A 15421-nucleotide genomic window follows, 5' to 3' on the forward strand; every position below is an offset into this window, starting at 1 on the left:
AAATGCGTGCTACGTCACTGTGCGATCGGGTTGTGCTTAGCTTGGGGTCTCCTGGCCCCTTGACGCGTCAGGTTGCTGTACCCCTGCATCGGATGCGCTGTACCCTGCGCTGGCTCCGTGAACCTTAGGGACAACACCGGGACACCCGCGAGGCCGGAAAATGGTGAGTGTGCAGGGCCGGACTAGTTGGAACCGGCCGTGATCGCGGGACCCGGGCCTCCCCACGGTCACCTCCGGCCGCAGTGTGGGGCTGGGCTGGCAGCTGGAACTCCAAGCGTCCTGTCCCGTCCCTGCGCGGCGACTGCGGTCCCAGCCCCGGAGCCCTCTCTGGACAACTCCGCGCCCGCAGCCCCGCGTCTTTCCCAGATCGTGCAGGGACCACGGGAGGGTCCTGGGGAGAATCCCGCCTTGTGTGTTTGGTTTGTGTGGGAGGAGCTACAGTCTGGGGTTCCCAGTCCCTTCTTTCTTCCCAAAGGCTGTTTCCCCCTGAGTCTTCCAAAGATGTTGGAAGCAGAGTCTCAAATCCACTACCCTGTCCCCCCAGCCTAGCTCCTCCCACGGCGGGCCATTAATCCCTAGATTTCCGGATCCCTCCCCGAATTCCCAAACGCCTACTTCCGCTCGCCAGTGGAAAACATCGTCACCAACTCTTTGTCCTGTGTGGTGCATTTCAAACACACGCAGTATTTTAATAATCTTTTTTCCAATAGATGCCTCTTTTAAACGATTTATTTCTTGTTTGTGGATATTTTACATCAGAGAAAAATCAGAAAAATTATTCACTTGGAACTAATCTGCATAAAATGCTGTGGCCCTCATCCTGGTACCTTTCCAGGGCACAGACATCCTATGGGAACTCCTTTGCGTTGAGGTTCCTTTTTGTAAACTTTCCTGGGTAATCTATCTTTTCAGCACAGTTTCAGATTGGCACTGTCCCGCCTTGGGTTTATGACCTTGAAAAGATTTATTCACTCGAATGTCATTTTTCCAATAAATATAAAATATATGTTATCAGAAGAACTTGAGAGACAGTACAAAATATTTCCAAAGGGCAAAAAAGAAATGAATCTCAGAAAACAAAAAACATCCCAATATTACATTTGTTAAAAATTCTTTGTTCTTTCCCTGAGCACATGGAATATGTTTCTCAGGTCTGTTCTTTTAGTTTGATGTTTCAGATGGTATTCCAGGACTTAAACTTGCAACATCTAGAAGCATTCAGATAGAAGTAATACTTTTGTAAACTATTTATTGCCATGGAAATAATTAACTGACATTATTATTTTCTTTTTTTTTTTTTTAACAGATGGGGTCTGGCTGTGTTGCTCAGGCTGATCTTGAACTCCTGGGCTCAAGCGATCCTCCACCCTCAGCATCCCAAAGTGCTAGGATTCCAGGCATGAGCTACTATTACCGGCCCAACATTCTCATTTTCTGAAAGCAATAGTGGGTTTTCTTGTTAAATGGCTTAAAATTTTCTTGCTTCCTTCCTTTATTTATTTATTTATTTATTTATTTATTATTTATTTACTTTTTTTTTTGAGACGGAGTCTAGCTTTCTCGCCAGGCTGGAGTGCAGTGACACGATCTCAGCTCACTGCAACCTCTGCCTCTCGGGTTCAAGCGATTCTCCTGCCTCAACCTCCCAAGTAGCTGGGATTACAGGCACAAGCTACCACGCCCAGCTAATTTTTGTATTTTTTTTTTTTTTTTTTAGTAGAGAGTGTTTCACTATGTTTCCCAGGATGGTCTCAATCTCCTGATCTCCTGACCTCATGATCCTCCCGCCTTGGCCTCCCAAAATGCTGGGATTACAGGCATGAGCCACCACGCCAGGCCTTTTGCTTCCTTTATACGTAAACACTGTGTTTAAGTAATTCTGCTGGATTTTTTTTTTTTTTTTTTTTTTTAAAGACCAAGTCTTGCTCTTTTGCCCAGGCTGGAGTGCAGTGGCACAATTTTGGCTTACTGCAACCTCCGCACTTGGAAGCTGAGGAGCCACAGGCAGATGCTGTTAGGGGAAGAGGGGAGGATGTCTGAGGTTTTAATTGTGGTTTCCTTGGGTGTGTTTTTAGACATTACATTTGAGTTTCACATCTGTAAGGTAGGTACACTGAGTGTAATTGGTGCATATTGACAGCCATTCTCCTGCCTTAGCCTCCCAAGTACCTGGGATTACAGGCACACACCACTATGCCCGGCTAATTTTTTTGTATTTTGAGTAGAGGCGGGGTTTCACCATGTTGGCCAGTCCGGTCTCGAACTCCGGACCGCAGGTGATCCACCCGCCTCAGCCTCCCAAAGTGCTGGGATTATAGGTGTGAGCCATCGTGCCAGGCCTTCTGCTGGATGTTTAAGGAACAATCCTTAAGAATTTAAGGGCCCGGCACGGTGGCTCATGCCTGTAATCCCAGCACTTTGGGAGGCCAAGGAGGGCGGATCACGAGGTCAGGAGCTCGAGACCATCCTGGCTAACATTGTGAAACCCCGTCTCTACTAAAAATACAAAAAATTAGCTGGGCGTGGAGGCGGGCGCCTGTAGTCCCAGCTACTCTGGAGGCTGAGGCAGGAGAATGGCGTGGACCTGGGAGGCGGAGCTTGCAGTGAGCCGAGATCGCGCCACTGCACTCCAGCGTGGGTGACAGGGTGAGACTCCATCTCAAAACAAAAAAAAAATTTAATTAAATTGTCTCATTTAAAATTACTAGTAGTGTTCCAGAGCCTTGTGACTGGGGAGCAGAGGCCTGAGATAAGTGATTCCAAGCTAAGTCCACCTTTGAGCCTGCAAAGAAAGATCATTGAAGGCCCAATTGGTTCTTCCTGGGGAGCCTCCCCTACAGGTCTGCCAGCTACTCATATGCCCACCATGGAAGGATCCTCTTGTACTGAAAGAAACTGCAGAGCACTTGGAAGCTGAGGATGCACAGGCAGATGCTGTTAGGGGAAGAGGGGAGGATGTCTGAGGTTTTAATTGTGGTTTCCTTGGGTGTGTTTTTAGACATTACGTTTTGAGTTTCACTTCCGTAATATAGGTGTACTGGGTGTAATTGGTGCATATTGACAGTGTCTGTGAAGGTCAGGACTTATGTTTCCTAGAGACAGGGTTAATGAATTGGGGAGCTCATTTGCATCAGAACCTCAATCTCAATCTGGTTGAGAGTTTCCTCACTTGGGAAAACGGAAACCTAGGGAAGCTAATGTTTCTTTGCTGCCATAGGAGAGAAGGAGGTGTGGAGCTCCCATAGTTCCTTGCTGATCAGGTGCTTCTATCCTCCATTACCAGGTACTGACCCACTCTAGGGGTTACATTTTTCTTTATTTTTATTTTTTTTGAGACCGAGTCTCACTCTGTTGCCCAGGCTGGAGTGCAGTGGCACGATCTCGGCTCACTGCAACCTCCGCCTCCTGGGTTCAAGCCATTCTCCTGCCTCAGCCTCCAGAGTAGCTAGGATTACAGGTGTGTGCCACCAGGCCCGGCCAATTTATTTTGTATTTTTAGTAGAGACGGGGTTTCACCGTGTTGACCAGGCTGGTCTCAAATTCCTGACCTCAGGTGATCTGCCTGCCTTGGCCTCACAAAGTGCTGAGATTACAGGTGTGAGCCACCACGCCAGGCCGGGGTTACGTTTTTCAAGCTGGGAGAGTCTGGGTCCAAGCTGGGGAATATGTTTAACTTTTTTTTTTTTTTTTTGGAAACGGAGTTTTGCTCTTGTTGCCCAGGCTGGAGTGCAATGGCACAATCTCGGCTCACCGCAACCTCCGCTTCCCAGGTTCAAGCGATTCTTCTGCCTCAGCCTCCCAGGTAGCTGGGATTACAGGCGTGCGCCACCATGCCCAGCTAATTTTGTATTTTTAGTAGAGATGGGGTTTCTCCATGTTTGTCAGTCTGGTCTTGAGCTCCCCACCTAGGTGATCTGCCCACCTTGGCCTCCCAGAGGGCTGGGATTACAGGTGTGAGCCACTGCGTCCGGCCTTTTTTTTTTTTTTTTTTTTTTTTTTTTTTTTTTTGATACAGCGTCTCACTCTGTTGCCCAAGCTGGTCTGGAACTCCTGGCCTCAGGCCGTCCTCCCACCTTAGTCTCCTATGTTCAACTTTTTTTTTTTTTTTTTTTTTTTTTGAGACAGGGTCCCACTCCGTCGCCCAGGCTGGAGTGCAGTGATGTGATCATTGCTCACTGCAGCCTCCACCTCCTGGGCTCAAGTGATCCTCCTGCCTCCTCTGAGTAGCTGGGACTGCATGCATGCACCACAATGCCCATCTAATTTTCGTATTTTCTGTAGAGATGGGGTTTCGCCATATTGCCCAGGCTGGTCTGGAACTCCTGGGCTCGAGCACTTCTCCCGCCCTGGCCTCCCACAGCGCATGGCCTCCCACAATTTCTTGACATCCAAAGATACTTTTGCTGTCTTAAGGTTTTATATTTTCCAGAATGTAATACACGTGGAGTTATTCAGGATATAGCCTTCACAGATTGGCTTCCTTCACTGAGCAATGTACTTTTAAGGTCCTTCTGTGTCTTCATGGCTTGATACCTGATTTCTCTTATCGTTGAACAATATTTCATCATAAGATTGTACCGGCCGGGCACGATGGCTCATGCCTGTAATCCCAGCTCTTTGGGAGGCCGAGGCGGGCGGATCACAAGGTCAGGAGTTTGAGACCAGCCTGGCCAACATGACAAAACCCCGTCTCTACTAAAAATACAAAAATTAGCTGGGTGTGGTGGCGCACACCTGTAATCTCAGCTACCTGGGAGGCTGAGGCAGGAGAATTGCTTGAACCTGGAAGGTGGAGGTTGCAGTGAGCCGAGATAGTGCCATTGCACTCCAGCCTGGGCAACAAGAGCAAGACTCCGTCTCAAAAAAAAAAAAAAAAAAAAGATTGTACCACAGATTGTTTATCCATAAACCTGTTGCATGATGTCTTGGTTAAGTCTTAAATTTGGCAGTTATGAAGAAACCTCCTGTAAATATTCATGGGCAGGTTTTTGTATGAACAGTATTTTTCAACTCATGTGAGTAAATAGCAAGGAATGTGATTGCATGGTCCACTGGTAAGAGGACGTTTTGTTTTGTTAGAAACTGCCTATCTTCCAAAGTAGACATACCATTTTCCATTTCCATTGGCAAGGAATGAGAATTCTTGTTGTCTACATCTTTGCTATCCATTGCTGTTCTCAGCATTTTGAACTTTGTACGTTCTAATAAGTGTAAAGTGATATCTCTTCAGTTTTATTTGCAGCTCCTTAGTGACATATAATTGAGCATCTCTTCATATGTGTATTTGCCATCTGTATATCTTTCATTGGTGAGGGGTGTGTTCAGGTCTTTTGCTCATTTTTCACTGGTTCATTTGTCTTATTTTTGTTGAGATTTAAGAGTTCGAATTGGAGGCAGGCATGGTGGTACACGCTTGTCATCCCAGCTACTCCAGAGGCTAAAGTGGGAGGATTGCCTGCACCCAGGATTATAAGCCCAGCATGGGCAACATAATGGATCCTATCTCAAAAAAACAAAAAGGACGCTAGGCATGGTAGCTCATGTGGGGCCACCCAGGCTGCTGGGGAGCAGAGCTGAGAAGTGGTGCTGGGGCTGGAGCTGCCAAGGGATCGGAGAAAAAAAATTAGCCCAATGTGGGTGGCACACCCCTGTAGTCCCAGCTATTTGGGAGGCTGAGGCATGAGAATCGCTTGAGCCTAGGAGGCAGAGGTTGCAGTGAGCCGAGATTGCACCACTGCACTCCACCCTGGGCAACAGAGCAAGACTGTCTCAAAAAAAAAGAAAAACAAAAAGAATTCTTTGGATATTTTAGATACTAGTCCTTAATCAGATAAGTGCTTTTGTGAAGATTTGCAAAAATCTGTCTGTGCCTTTTATTTTTATTCTTTTAACACTTTCTTTCACAGAGTAGGAGTTTTTCATTTTAATGAAGTGAAACTTATTTTTTCCTTTCATAGATTGTGCTTTTAGTGGTTTATCTAAAAATTCATCACCAAAGCCAAGTGGATAGTTTTGCATGTTACATTTACATCTATGATCGATTTGGGCTTAATTTTTGTGAAAGGTGTAAGATCCATGTATAAATTTTTTGTGGGTGTATGAGAGTTTAATAGTATAAATTTCACTTAGGTACTATTTTTGTTGCATTCCACAAATTTTGATAAGTTCTATTTTCATTTAATTCACATTTAATTTTTCTTTTTTCTTCTTTTTTTTTTTTTTTTGAGACGGAGTCTTGCTGTGTCACTCAGGCTGGAGTGCAGTGGTGCAGTCTTGGCTCACTGCATCCTCCGCCTCCCGGGTTCAAGCGATTCTCCTGCCTCAACCTCTCAAGTAGCTGGGATTACAGGCACGTGCCACCATGCCTGTCTAATTTTTTTATTTTTAGTAGAGATGGGGTTTCACCATGTTGGCCAGGCTGGTCTCGAACTCCTGACCTCGTGATCCGCCCACCTTGGCCCCCCAGAGTGCTGGGATTACAGGCATGAGTCACTGCGCCCGGCCCAAATTTAATTTTTCTTGAGATTTTTTTGATTCATGTTTAGAACTGTGTTGGGTTTTATTTCCAAATATTTGATGGTTTTCTAACTATTCTTCTGTTACTGATTTCTAGATTAATACCATGGTGGTCTGAGAGCATATTTTATATAATGTATATTCTTTGAAAATTGTTAAGGTGTGTTTTTGTCCACAACATGGTTTATCTTGGTGAATGTTCCACATGAACTTGAGAAGAATGTGTGTTGTTCTGTTGGATGAAGCATTCATGGATTTTAATTAAACCCAGTTGTTGCCTTTCAACTAAACTTTGTCCTTTCTGATTTTCTACCTGCTGGAACTCTTTTTTTTTTTTTTTTTTTTTTTTGGAGACAGGGTATTACCCTGTCACCAGGCTGGAATGCAGTGGCATGATCTCAGCCTACTACAACCACCACCTCAGCCTTCTGAGTAGCTGGAACTACAGGTGCGTGCCACATACAGGGCTAAATTTTGCTTTTTTTTTTTTTTTTTTTTTGAGACAGAGTTTCGTCCTTGTCGCCCAGGCTGGAGTGCAGAGGCAAGAACTCAGCTCACTGCAACCTCCATCCACTGGGTTCAAGCGATTCTCCTGCCTCAGCTTCACAGGTAGCTGGGATTACAGGTGCACACCATCATGCCCGGCTAATTTTTGTATTTTTAGTAGAGATGGAGTTTCACCATGTTGGCTAGGCTGGTCTCCAACTCCTGACATCAGGTGATCCACCCACCTTGGCTTTGCAAGGTGCTGGGATTACAGGCGTGAGCCACCACGTCCACCAACCATCTATTCTTTTTCACAAGTATTGTATTTTTAAATTTTTGCCTCCTTTGAACATTTAATGAGTATTAATGGAATTACACTTAAAGGGTTTTTTGGAGCCTAGGCAACATAGTGAGACCCATCTTTACAAAAAATGAAAAAATTAGCCAGGCATGGTGATGCACACCTGTAGTCCCAGCTACTCAGGAGTCTGAGGCGGGAAGATTGCTTGAGCCCGGGAAGTCGAGGCTGCTGTGAGCCGTGACTGCACCACTGTACTCTAGCCTGGGCAACAATGAGACCCCGTCTCAAAAATAAAATAAAGGCCGAGTGTGGTGGCTCGCGCCTGAGGCTAGGAGTTCAAGACCAGCCTGGCCAACATGGTGAAACCCTGTCTCTACTAAAATACAAAAAATTAGCTGGGTATGGTGGTGCGTGCCTGTAATCCCAGCTACTCAGGAGGCTGAGACAGGAGAATTGCTTGAACCCGGGAGGCGGAGGCTGCAGTGAGCCGAGATCATGCCACTGCACTCCACCCTGGGGAACAAGAGCAAAACTCCACCTCAAAATAAATAAATAAATAATTTTGTGGTGATTTGTTTACCTCTCAGTGTGTGTGTGTGTGTGTGTGTGTGTGTGTGTGTGTGTGTGTATTTATTTATTTTTTTGAGATGGAGTCTCACTCTGTTGCCAGGCTGGAGTGCAGTGGTGTGATCTCAGCTCACTGCAACCTCCGCCTCCTGGGTTCAAGCGATTCTCCTGCTTCAGCCTCCCGAGTAGCTGGGACTACAGGCATGAGCCACCATGCCCAGCTAATTTTTGTATTTTTAGTAGCGACGGAGTTTCACCATGTTGGTCAGGATGGTCTCAGTCTCGACCTCGTGATCCACCCACCTAGGCCTCCCAAAGTGCTAGGGATTACAGGCGTGAGCCACCACGCCTGGCCACCTCTCAGTATATTTCTCATATGCTAGTATCTGAAGCTGCAGGCTATCCGTTCCAATGGTTGTGGTGTTTAGACTTTTTCACGGTTTTGTTTTTGTTTGCTTTGTGGAAAATAATGCTCCTACTATTTTTGTTTCAGTCTGCAAGTGCAAACGCACAATAAATTCTCTGGTAGTTGGAAAAAAATTACTGGATCTTGGTCAAGTTTAAATTTACAAACTTAAAAAAAGTGGTGGAGTGTATCAGTTGATCCTCCGTTTGTACATGATTGTTCTCTGTAGTCATCAACACTAATGTTATCTTTTTTTTTTTTTTTTTTTTTTTGAGACGGAGTCTCGATTTGTCTCCCAGGCTGGAGTGCAGTGGCGCGATCTGGGCTCACTGCAAGCTCCGCCTCCCGTGTTCACGCCATTCTCCTGCCTCAGCCTCTCGACTAGCTGGGACTACAGGCGCCCGCCACTTCTCCTGGCTAATTTTTTGTATTTTTAGTAGAGACGGGGTTTCACTGTGTTAGCCAGGATGCTCTCGATCTCCTGACCTCATGATCTACCTGCCTCGGCCTCCCCAAGTGCTGGGATTACAGGCGTGAGCCACCGCGCCCGGCCACTAATGTTATCTTAATCGACTAGTTTTGTCTTCCTACTCAGTTTGAAGTGGGAACTATTTGACATTTATATCCTCATTAGCAAGGAGATGAACCTTTTTTTTCTGTTTTTTTTTCTTTTTATTATTTAGTAAAAGGCTATATATGAAATCTTTATTTATTTATTTATTTTTATTTTATTTATTTATTTTTTTGAGACGGAGTCTCGCTCTGTCGCCCAGGTTGGAGTGCAGTGGCGCGATCTCGGCTCACTGCAAGCTCCGCCTCCCGGGTTCCCGCCATTCTCCTGCCTCAGCCTCCCGAGTAGCTGGGACTACAGGCGCCCGCCACGGCACCCAGCTAATTTTTTGTATTTTTAGTAGAGCCAGGATGGTCTCGATCTTCTGACCTCGTGATCCACCTGCCTTGGCCTCCCAAAGTGCTGGGATTACAGGTGTGAGCCACCGCACCTGGCCTGTCTTTATTTATTTTTGGCTGGAGTGCAGTGGTATAGTTATGGCTCACTGCAGCCTTGACTTTGCAGGCTCAAGCAATCCTCCCACCTCAGCCTCCCAAGTAGCTGAGACCACAGGCGTGCACCACCACGCCTGGCCAAGTTTTGTATATTTTATAGAGACAGGGTTTCACCATGTTGCCCAGGCTGGTCTCGAACTCCTGGGCTCAAACGATCTGCCCACCTCAGCCTCCCAAAGTGCTGGGATTATAGGCATGAGCCATCACGCCTGGCCAAAATGTTTATTTTCTATTAAATGTAAATGTAAATAAACCTTACAGAGAGCACCCAGGCATGCAGATGGACTTGTCACGAGGGAGAGCTCCCTGGAGCCAAATTTCTTCCTGCTCAGACCATAGTCCTAATTACTTAAGAAAACCCCTTCTAACTGTGTGGATCTTTTAACGTATGGTGCACATGAGTGCATGGAAATGAGAGAACCTGGGACAACAGCCCCTAGAGTGTCTGTCTGGGATCACTTCCTCCTGAAACTGGAGAAAGGGGATTTATGTTCTTTTTTTTTTTTTTTTTTTTTTTTGAGATAGAGTCTCGCTCTGTTGCCCAGGCTGGACTGCAGTGGTGCGATCTTGGCTCACTGCAACCTCTGCCTCCCGGGTTCAAGCGATTCTCCTGCCTCTGCCTCCCGAGTAGCTGAGATTACATGCATGCACCACCATGCCCAACTAATTTTTGTATTTTTAGTAGAGGCAGGGTTTCTCCATGTTGGCCAGGGTGGTCTCGAACTCCTGACCTGAGGTGATCCACCTGCCTCGGCCTCCCACAGTGCTGGGATTACAGGCATGAGCCATCCTGACCCAGATTTTATGTTCTTTTGGAGGTATGAAATTACCTGTTAATTTTATAATCATGGGCAAATTCACCATCAGACCATTGTGGACATCAGTGAAGTCCCCTGAAAATTGATACTGTCAATCTATTCTTCAAGGTCAGCAAAGCCCAGATGACATGATTATGGATCTTCCAGAAAGTGCTCTTCTGACATTTTATCTCAATGTGTATATGTATTTGTGCTAAAAATTGGTTGGAAGCAGTTCTGAGGCTCATGGGTATAACGATTTTGTGAAAGTCTAAGTTGTGAGGGCCCCTTCCTTGTGCCTGAGCTGTCTTCCCAGTAACTTCCTAGTCTCACGAAATGGGACAGAAAGTAAAAGGAAAAACTGGGTCTATGATAGATATTACACACACAGCCGGGCGTGGTCGCTCATGCCTGTAATGCCAACACATAGGGATATATATATATCGGAAACAAGTTGAAATTAATACGTCTCTAAAAGAGTATTTCCATTCAGTCAGCAGAATCTGAGTGCTTCTGATGGCCTCAAATACTTCAGGACGATATAGGCAGCTAGACCTTCTTAAAAGTTGGATTTCCACAAGCCTCCTGGCCTCTCATGTATAACAAAAGGGGATAGAAGATTCTCAATGTGTATTTACTTATTAAAACCTCCACCTCGGTGGGGGGTCAGCCCCCCTGCCCGGCCAGCCGCCCCGTCCGGGAGGGAGGTGGGGGGGGTCAGCCCCCCCGCCCGGCCAGCCGCCCCGTCCGGGAGGTGAGGGGCGCCTCTGCCCGGCCACCACCCCGTCTGGGAGGTGTGCCTAACAGCTCATTGAGAACGGGCCAGGATGACAATGGCGGCTTTGTGGAATAGAAAGGCGGGAAAAGTGGGGAAAAGATTGAGAAATCGGATGGTTGCCGTGTCTGTGTAGAAAGTAGACATGGGAGACTTTTCATTTTGTTCTGCACTAAGAAAAATTCCTCTGCCTTGGGATCCTGTTGATCTGTGACCTTACCCCCAACCCTGTGCTCTCTGAAACATGTGCTGTGTCCACTCAGAGTTAAATGGATTAAGGGCGGTGCAAGATGTGCTTTGTTAAACAGATGCTTGAAGGCAGCATGCTCGTTAAGAGTCATCACCACTCCCTAATCTCAAGTAATCAGGGACACAAACACTGCGGAAGGCCGCAGGGTCCTCTGCCTAGGAAAACCAGAGACCTTTGTTCACTTGTTTATCTGCTGACCTTCCCTCCACTATTGTCCCATGACCCTGTCAAATCCCCCTCTGTGAGAAACACCCAAGAATTATCAATAAAAAAATAAATTAAAAAAAATAATAAATAAAAAAAATAATAAAAAAAAGACTGTCTCAAACAAAAAAAAAAAAAAAAAAAAACCTCCACCTCATTTAATCCCATATCTTAAGGAATGCTGAATGATTTGGGTAATAAGAAATTAGGCTGTGGGCTGGGTATGGTTATTCATACCTGTTATCACAACACTTTGGGAGGCCGGGGCAGGAGGATCACTTGGGGCCGAGAGTTAAAGGTCAACCTGGACAATATAACAAAACCCCAGCCGGAGGCAGTGGCTCACGCCTGTAATCCCAGCACTTTGGGTGGCCGAGGAGGGTGGATCACGAGGTCGGGAGTTCAAGACCAGCCTAGCCAAGATGGTGAAACCCCATCTCTACTAAAAATACAAAAAATTAGCTGGGCGTGGTGGCACGCGCCTATAATCCCAGCTACTTCGGAGGCTGAGGCAGAGAATTGCTTAAACCTGGAGGGGCGGAGGTTGCAGTGAGCCGAGATCGCACCACTGCACTCCTGCCTGGGTTACAGAGTGAGACTCCGTCTCAAAAAAAAAAAAAAAAAGAAAGAAAAAAAACCCATTTATCTGGGAGTGGTGTTGCACATCTGTAGTCCTAACTACTCGTGAAGCTGAGGCAGGAGGATGTCTTGGGGGCCCAGGGATTTGAGGCTACAGTGAGTTAGGATTGCTGCACTTGAGCCTAGGTGACAGAGCAAGACCCTGTCTCTTAGAAAACAACAAACAAACAAACAAGAAATAAGAATTTATCTCATAAAGAATTGAAGATCTTGCCTGTAATCTCAGCAATTTGAGAGGCCAAGGCTAGTGAATCGCTTGAGCTGAGGAGTTTGAGACCAGCCTGGGCAACATGGCAAAACCCCATCTCTACAAAAAATATACACAAAATACTTACCTAGGTGTAGTGGTGTGTTCCTGTAGTCCCAGCTACTCAGGAGGCTGAGGTTGGAGGATTGCTTGAGCCGGGAGGACTAGGCTCCAATGAACTGTGATTGTACCACTGCACTCCAGCCTAGGTAGCAGAGCGAGACCATCTATGTCTCAAAAAGGAAGAAAAAAAAATTGATCCTAAAATTTGTCTCATTTGTGTAGGATTTCTTTCATTTTTCTAAGTTGAACTAGATACTACCATTAGAGAGCAATAGGACTTACAGTGACCACAGTGAAGATGTAGCTATAAGTTTATGTGTTCAATGTGCTGTTACATTTCTAACAATTGAGTCATGCACTAAATGTTTGGAGACCACAAAATCGTGTGTGAATTTCTTATGAATTGAGGATACCTCTCATCCTTGTCAATCTCACCTATTCTCTACTTATATTGGATGTTTCAGGACTCAGTGGCTTTTGAGGATGTGTCTGTGAGCTTCAGCCAGGAGGAGTGGGCTCTGCTGGCTCCTTCACAGAAGAAACTCTACAGAGATGTGATGCAGGAAACATTCAAGAACCTGGCATCTATAGGTAAGGATGACATCATTTTTTCTTTTTTCTTTTTTTTTTTTTTTGGGGGGGGACAGAGTTTCACTATTGTCCAGGCTGGAGAGCAATGGCACAATCTCAGCTCACCACAACCTCAGCCTCCCAGGTTCAAGCAATTCTCCTACCTCAGCCTCCCGAGTAGCTGGGATTACAGGCACGTGCCACCATGCCTGGCTAATTTTTTTCTTTTTAGTAGAGACGGGATTTCACCATGTTGGTCAGGCTGGTCTTGAACTCCTGACCACAGGTAATCTGCCCGCTTCAGCCTCCCAAAGTGCTGGGATTACAGGCATGAGCCACTGTGCCTGGCCTTCTTTTTTTTTTTTTTTTTTGAGTCTCGTCCTGTTCCCCAGGGTGGAGTGCAGTGGCGGGATCTTGGCTCACTGTAACCTCCGCCTCCTGGGTTCAAGCAATTCTCCTGCCTCAGCCTCCCGAGTAGCTGGGATTACAGGTGCCCACCACCATGCCCGGCTAATTTTTGTATTTTTAGTAGAGACGGGGTTTTATCATGTTGGCCAGGCTGGTCTCGAACTCCTGACCTCAGGTGATCCACCCGCCTCAGCCTCCCAAAGTGTGGGGATTACAGGCATGAGCCACCGCACCCCAGTGACATCATTTTTTCATATCGTCAGTTAGAGAACTGCCATTTCTTGCTCATAATCACTGTTCCGAGATTTGGAATCTGAAAAGGAAACACTTCTGTAAATAAACCAGGCATGGTTACAGCTCATTGTGAACCTATAATCTAATAATATTTGTATAATTTTTAATAATTTATCATGATTATTCTTGATCTACATTTTAGGGGAAAAATGGGAAGACCCGAATGTTGAAGATCAACACAAAAACCAAGGACGAAATCTAAGGTGAGTTGCACTCACAAGAAGTAACAGTGTTCCTTGAAAGAATCTTAAAAATGTTATGGCCGGGCACGGTGGCTCACACCTGTAATCTCAGCACTTTGAGAGGCTGAGGTGGGTGGATCATGAGGTCAGGAGTTCAAGACCAGCCTGGCCAACATGATGAAACCCCGTCTCTACTAAAAATACAAAAAAAGTTAGCCAGTTGTGGTGGTGGGCGCCTGTAATCCCAGCTACTCTGGAGGCTGAGGCAGAGAATTACTTGAATCCAGGAGGCAGAGGTTGCAGCGAGCCGAGATCGCGCCACTGCACTCCAGCCTGGGCAACAGAGCGAGACTCTGTCTCAAAAAAAAAAAGAAGTTGTGACACTTTTAAAACAAGAAGCAAGCTTAGCTCCAAATTTATTTATTTATTTGTTTTATTTATTTTTTCTTGAGATGAGGTTTTGCTCTGTCACTCAGGCTGGAGTGCAGTGGCATGGTCTTTGCTCACTGCAACCTCCACCTCCCGGGATCAAGTGATTTTCCTGCCTCAGCCTCCCAAGTAGCTGGGATTACAGGGACGTGCCACCACACCTGGCTAATTTTTGTATTTTTAGTAGAGACAGGGTTTCTCCATGTTGGCAAGGCTGGTCTCAAACTCCTGACCTCAGGTGATCTGCCCGCCTCAGCCTTCCAAAGTGCTGGGATTACAGGCACGAGCCACTGGGCCCCAAATTTATTTATTATCAGAAAATGTTTACCAAAAATGTTTTCTCAAGTGACACAGATGTCCACTGGCTGAAAAATATTATACTTGGGCCGGGCACTGTGCCTCACGCTTATAATCCCAGCACTTTGGGAAGGTGAGGTGGGCGGATCACCAGAGGTCAGGAGATCAAGACCAGTCTGGCCAACACAGTGAAAACCTGTCTCTACTAAAAATACAAAAATTAGCCGGGTGTGGTGGCACACACCTGTCATCCCAGCTACTCAGGAGGCTGAGGCAGGAGAATCACTTGAACCTGGGAGGCAGAGGTTGCAGTGAGCCCAGATCGCACCACTACACTCCAGCCTGGGCGACAGAGTGAGACTCCATCTCAAAAAAAAAAAAAAAGAAGAAGAAGAAGAAAGAAAAATATTGTACTTGGGAACAGTTTTGTTTGTTTGTTTGTTTTGTGAAACAGAGTCTCGCTCTGTCACCCAGGCTGGAGTGGAGTGGTATGATCTTGGCTCACTGCAACCTCTAACCCCTGGGTTCAAGCAATTCTTCTGCCTCAGCCTCCCAAGTAGCTGGGATTATAAGCGCGCACTACTATACTGGGTTAATTTTTGTTTTGTTTTGTTTTTTTTGAGACGGAGTCTCGCTCTGTCACCAGGCTAGAGTGCTGTGGCGCAATCTCGGCTCACTGCAACCTCCCACTCCCTGGTTCAAGGGATTCTTCTGCCTCCGCCTCCCAGGTAGCTGGGATTACAGGCATGCATCACCATGCCCGGCTAATTTTTGTGTTTTTAGTAGAGATAGGGTTTCACTATGTTGGCCAGGATGGTCACGATCTCCTGACCTCGTGATCTGCCCACCTCGGCCTCCCAAAGTGCTGGGATTACAGGCGTGAGCCACCATGCCCAGCCAATTTTTGTATTTTTTAGTAGAGATG

General features: G+C 46.2%; 1 protein-coding gene across 1 annotated transcript in view, besides 4 other annotated features; it reads left to right on the forward strand.

Annotated features, from left to right (window-relative positions):
* ZNF791 (zinc finger protein 791) overlaps nt 1-15421 on the forward strand; it is a 22915-nt gene continuing 7494 nt past the window's right edge. Inside the window, exons 1-3 of the mRNA NM_153358.3 lie at nt 1-163; nt 12781-12907; nt 13731-13791. Coding sequence (NP_699189.2) covers nt 161-163; nt 12781-12907; nt 13731-13791 — 191 coding nt within the window. The 5' untranslated portion in view covers nt 1-160. The remainder of the gene's footprint in view (nt 164-12780; nt 12908-13730; nt 13792-15421) is intronic.
* Nucleotides 113-172: an enhancer, noted in NCBI's record as "active region_14059". NCBI's record gives its function as "activates an Ori minimal core promoter by ATAC-STARR-seq in GM12878 lymphoblastoid cells {active_cell/tissue: GM12878}" and the evidence as "EXISTENCE:reporter gene assay evidence [ECO:0000049][PMID:35858748]".
* Nucleotides 1898-1967: an enhancer, noted in NCBI's record as "active region_14060". NCBI's record gives its function as "activates an Ori minimal core promoter by ATAC-STARR-seq in GM12878 lymphoblastoid cells {active_cell/tissue: GM12878}" and the evidence as "EXISTENCE:reporter gene assay evidence [ECO:0000049][PMID:35858748]".
* Nucleotides 2412-2912: an enhancer, noted in NCBI's record as "H3K4me1 hESC enhancer chr19:12724145-12724645 (GRCh37/hg19 assembly coordinates)". NCBI's record gives its function as "activates a minimal SCP1, AML or CMV promoter by ChIP-STARR-seq in naive H9 embryonic stem cells {active_cell/tissue: H9 hESC(naive)}" and the evidence as "EXISTENCE:reporter gene assay evidence [ECO:0000049][PMID:30033119]".
* Nucleotides 2888-3047: a silencer, noted in NCBI's record as "silent region_10154". NCBI's record gives its function as "represses an Ori minimal core promoter by ATAC-STARR-seq in GM12878 lymphoblastoid cells {active_cell/tissue: GM12878}" and the evidence as "EXISTENCE:reporter gene assay evidence [ECO:0000049][PMID:35858748]".

Source organism: Homo sapiens, chromosome 19, assembly GCF_000001405.40.
Source record: "Homo sapiens chromosome 19, GRCh38.p14 Primary Assembly".
Taxonomy (NCBI): domain Eukaryota; kingdom Metazoa; phylum Chordata; class Mammalia; order Primates; family Hominidae; genus Homo; species Homo sapiens.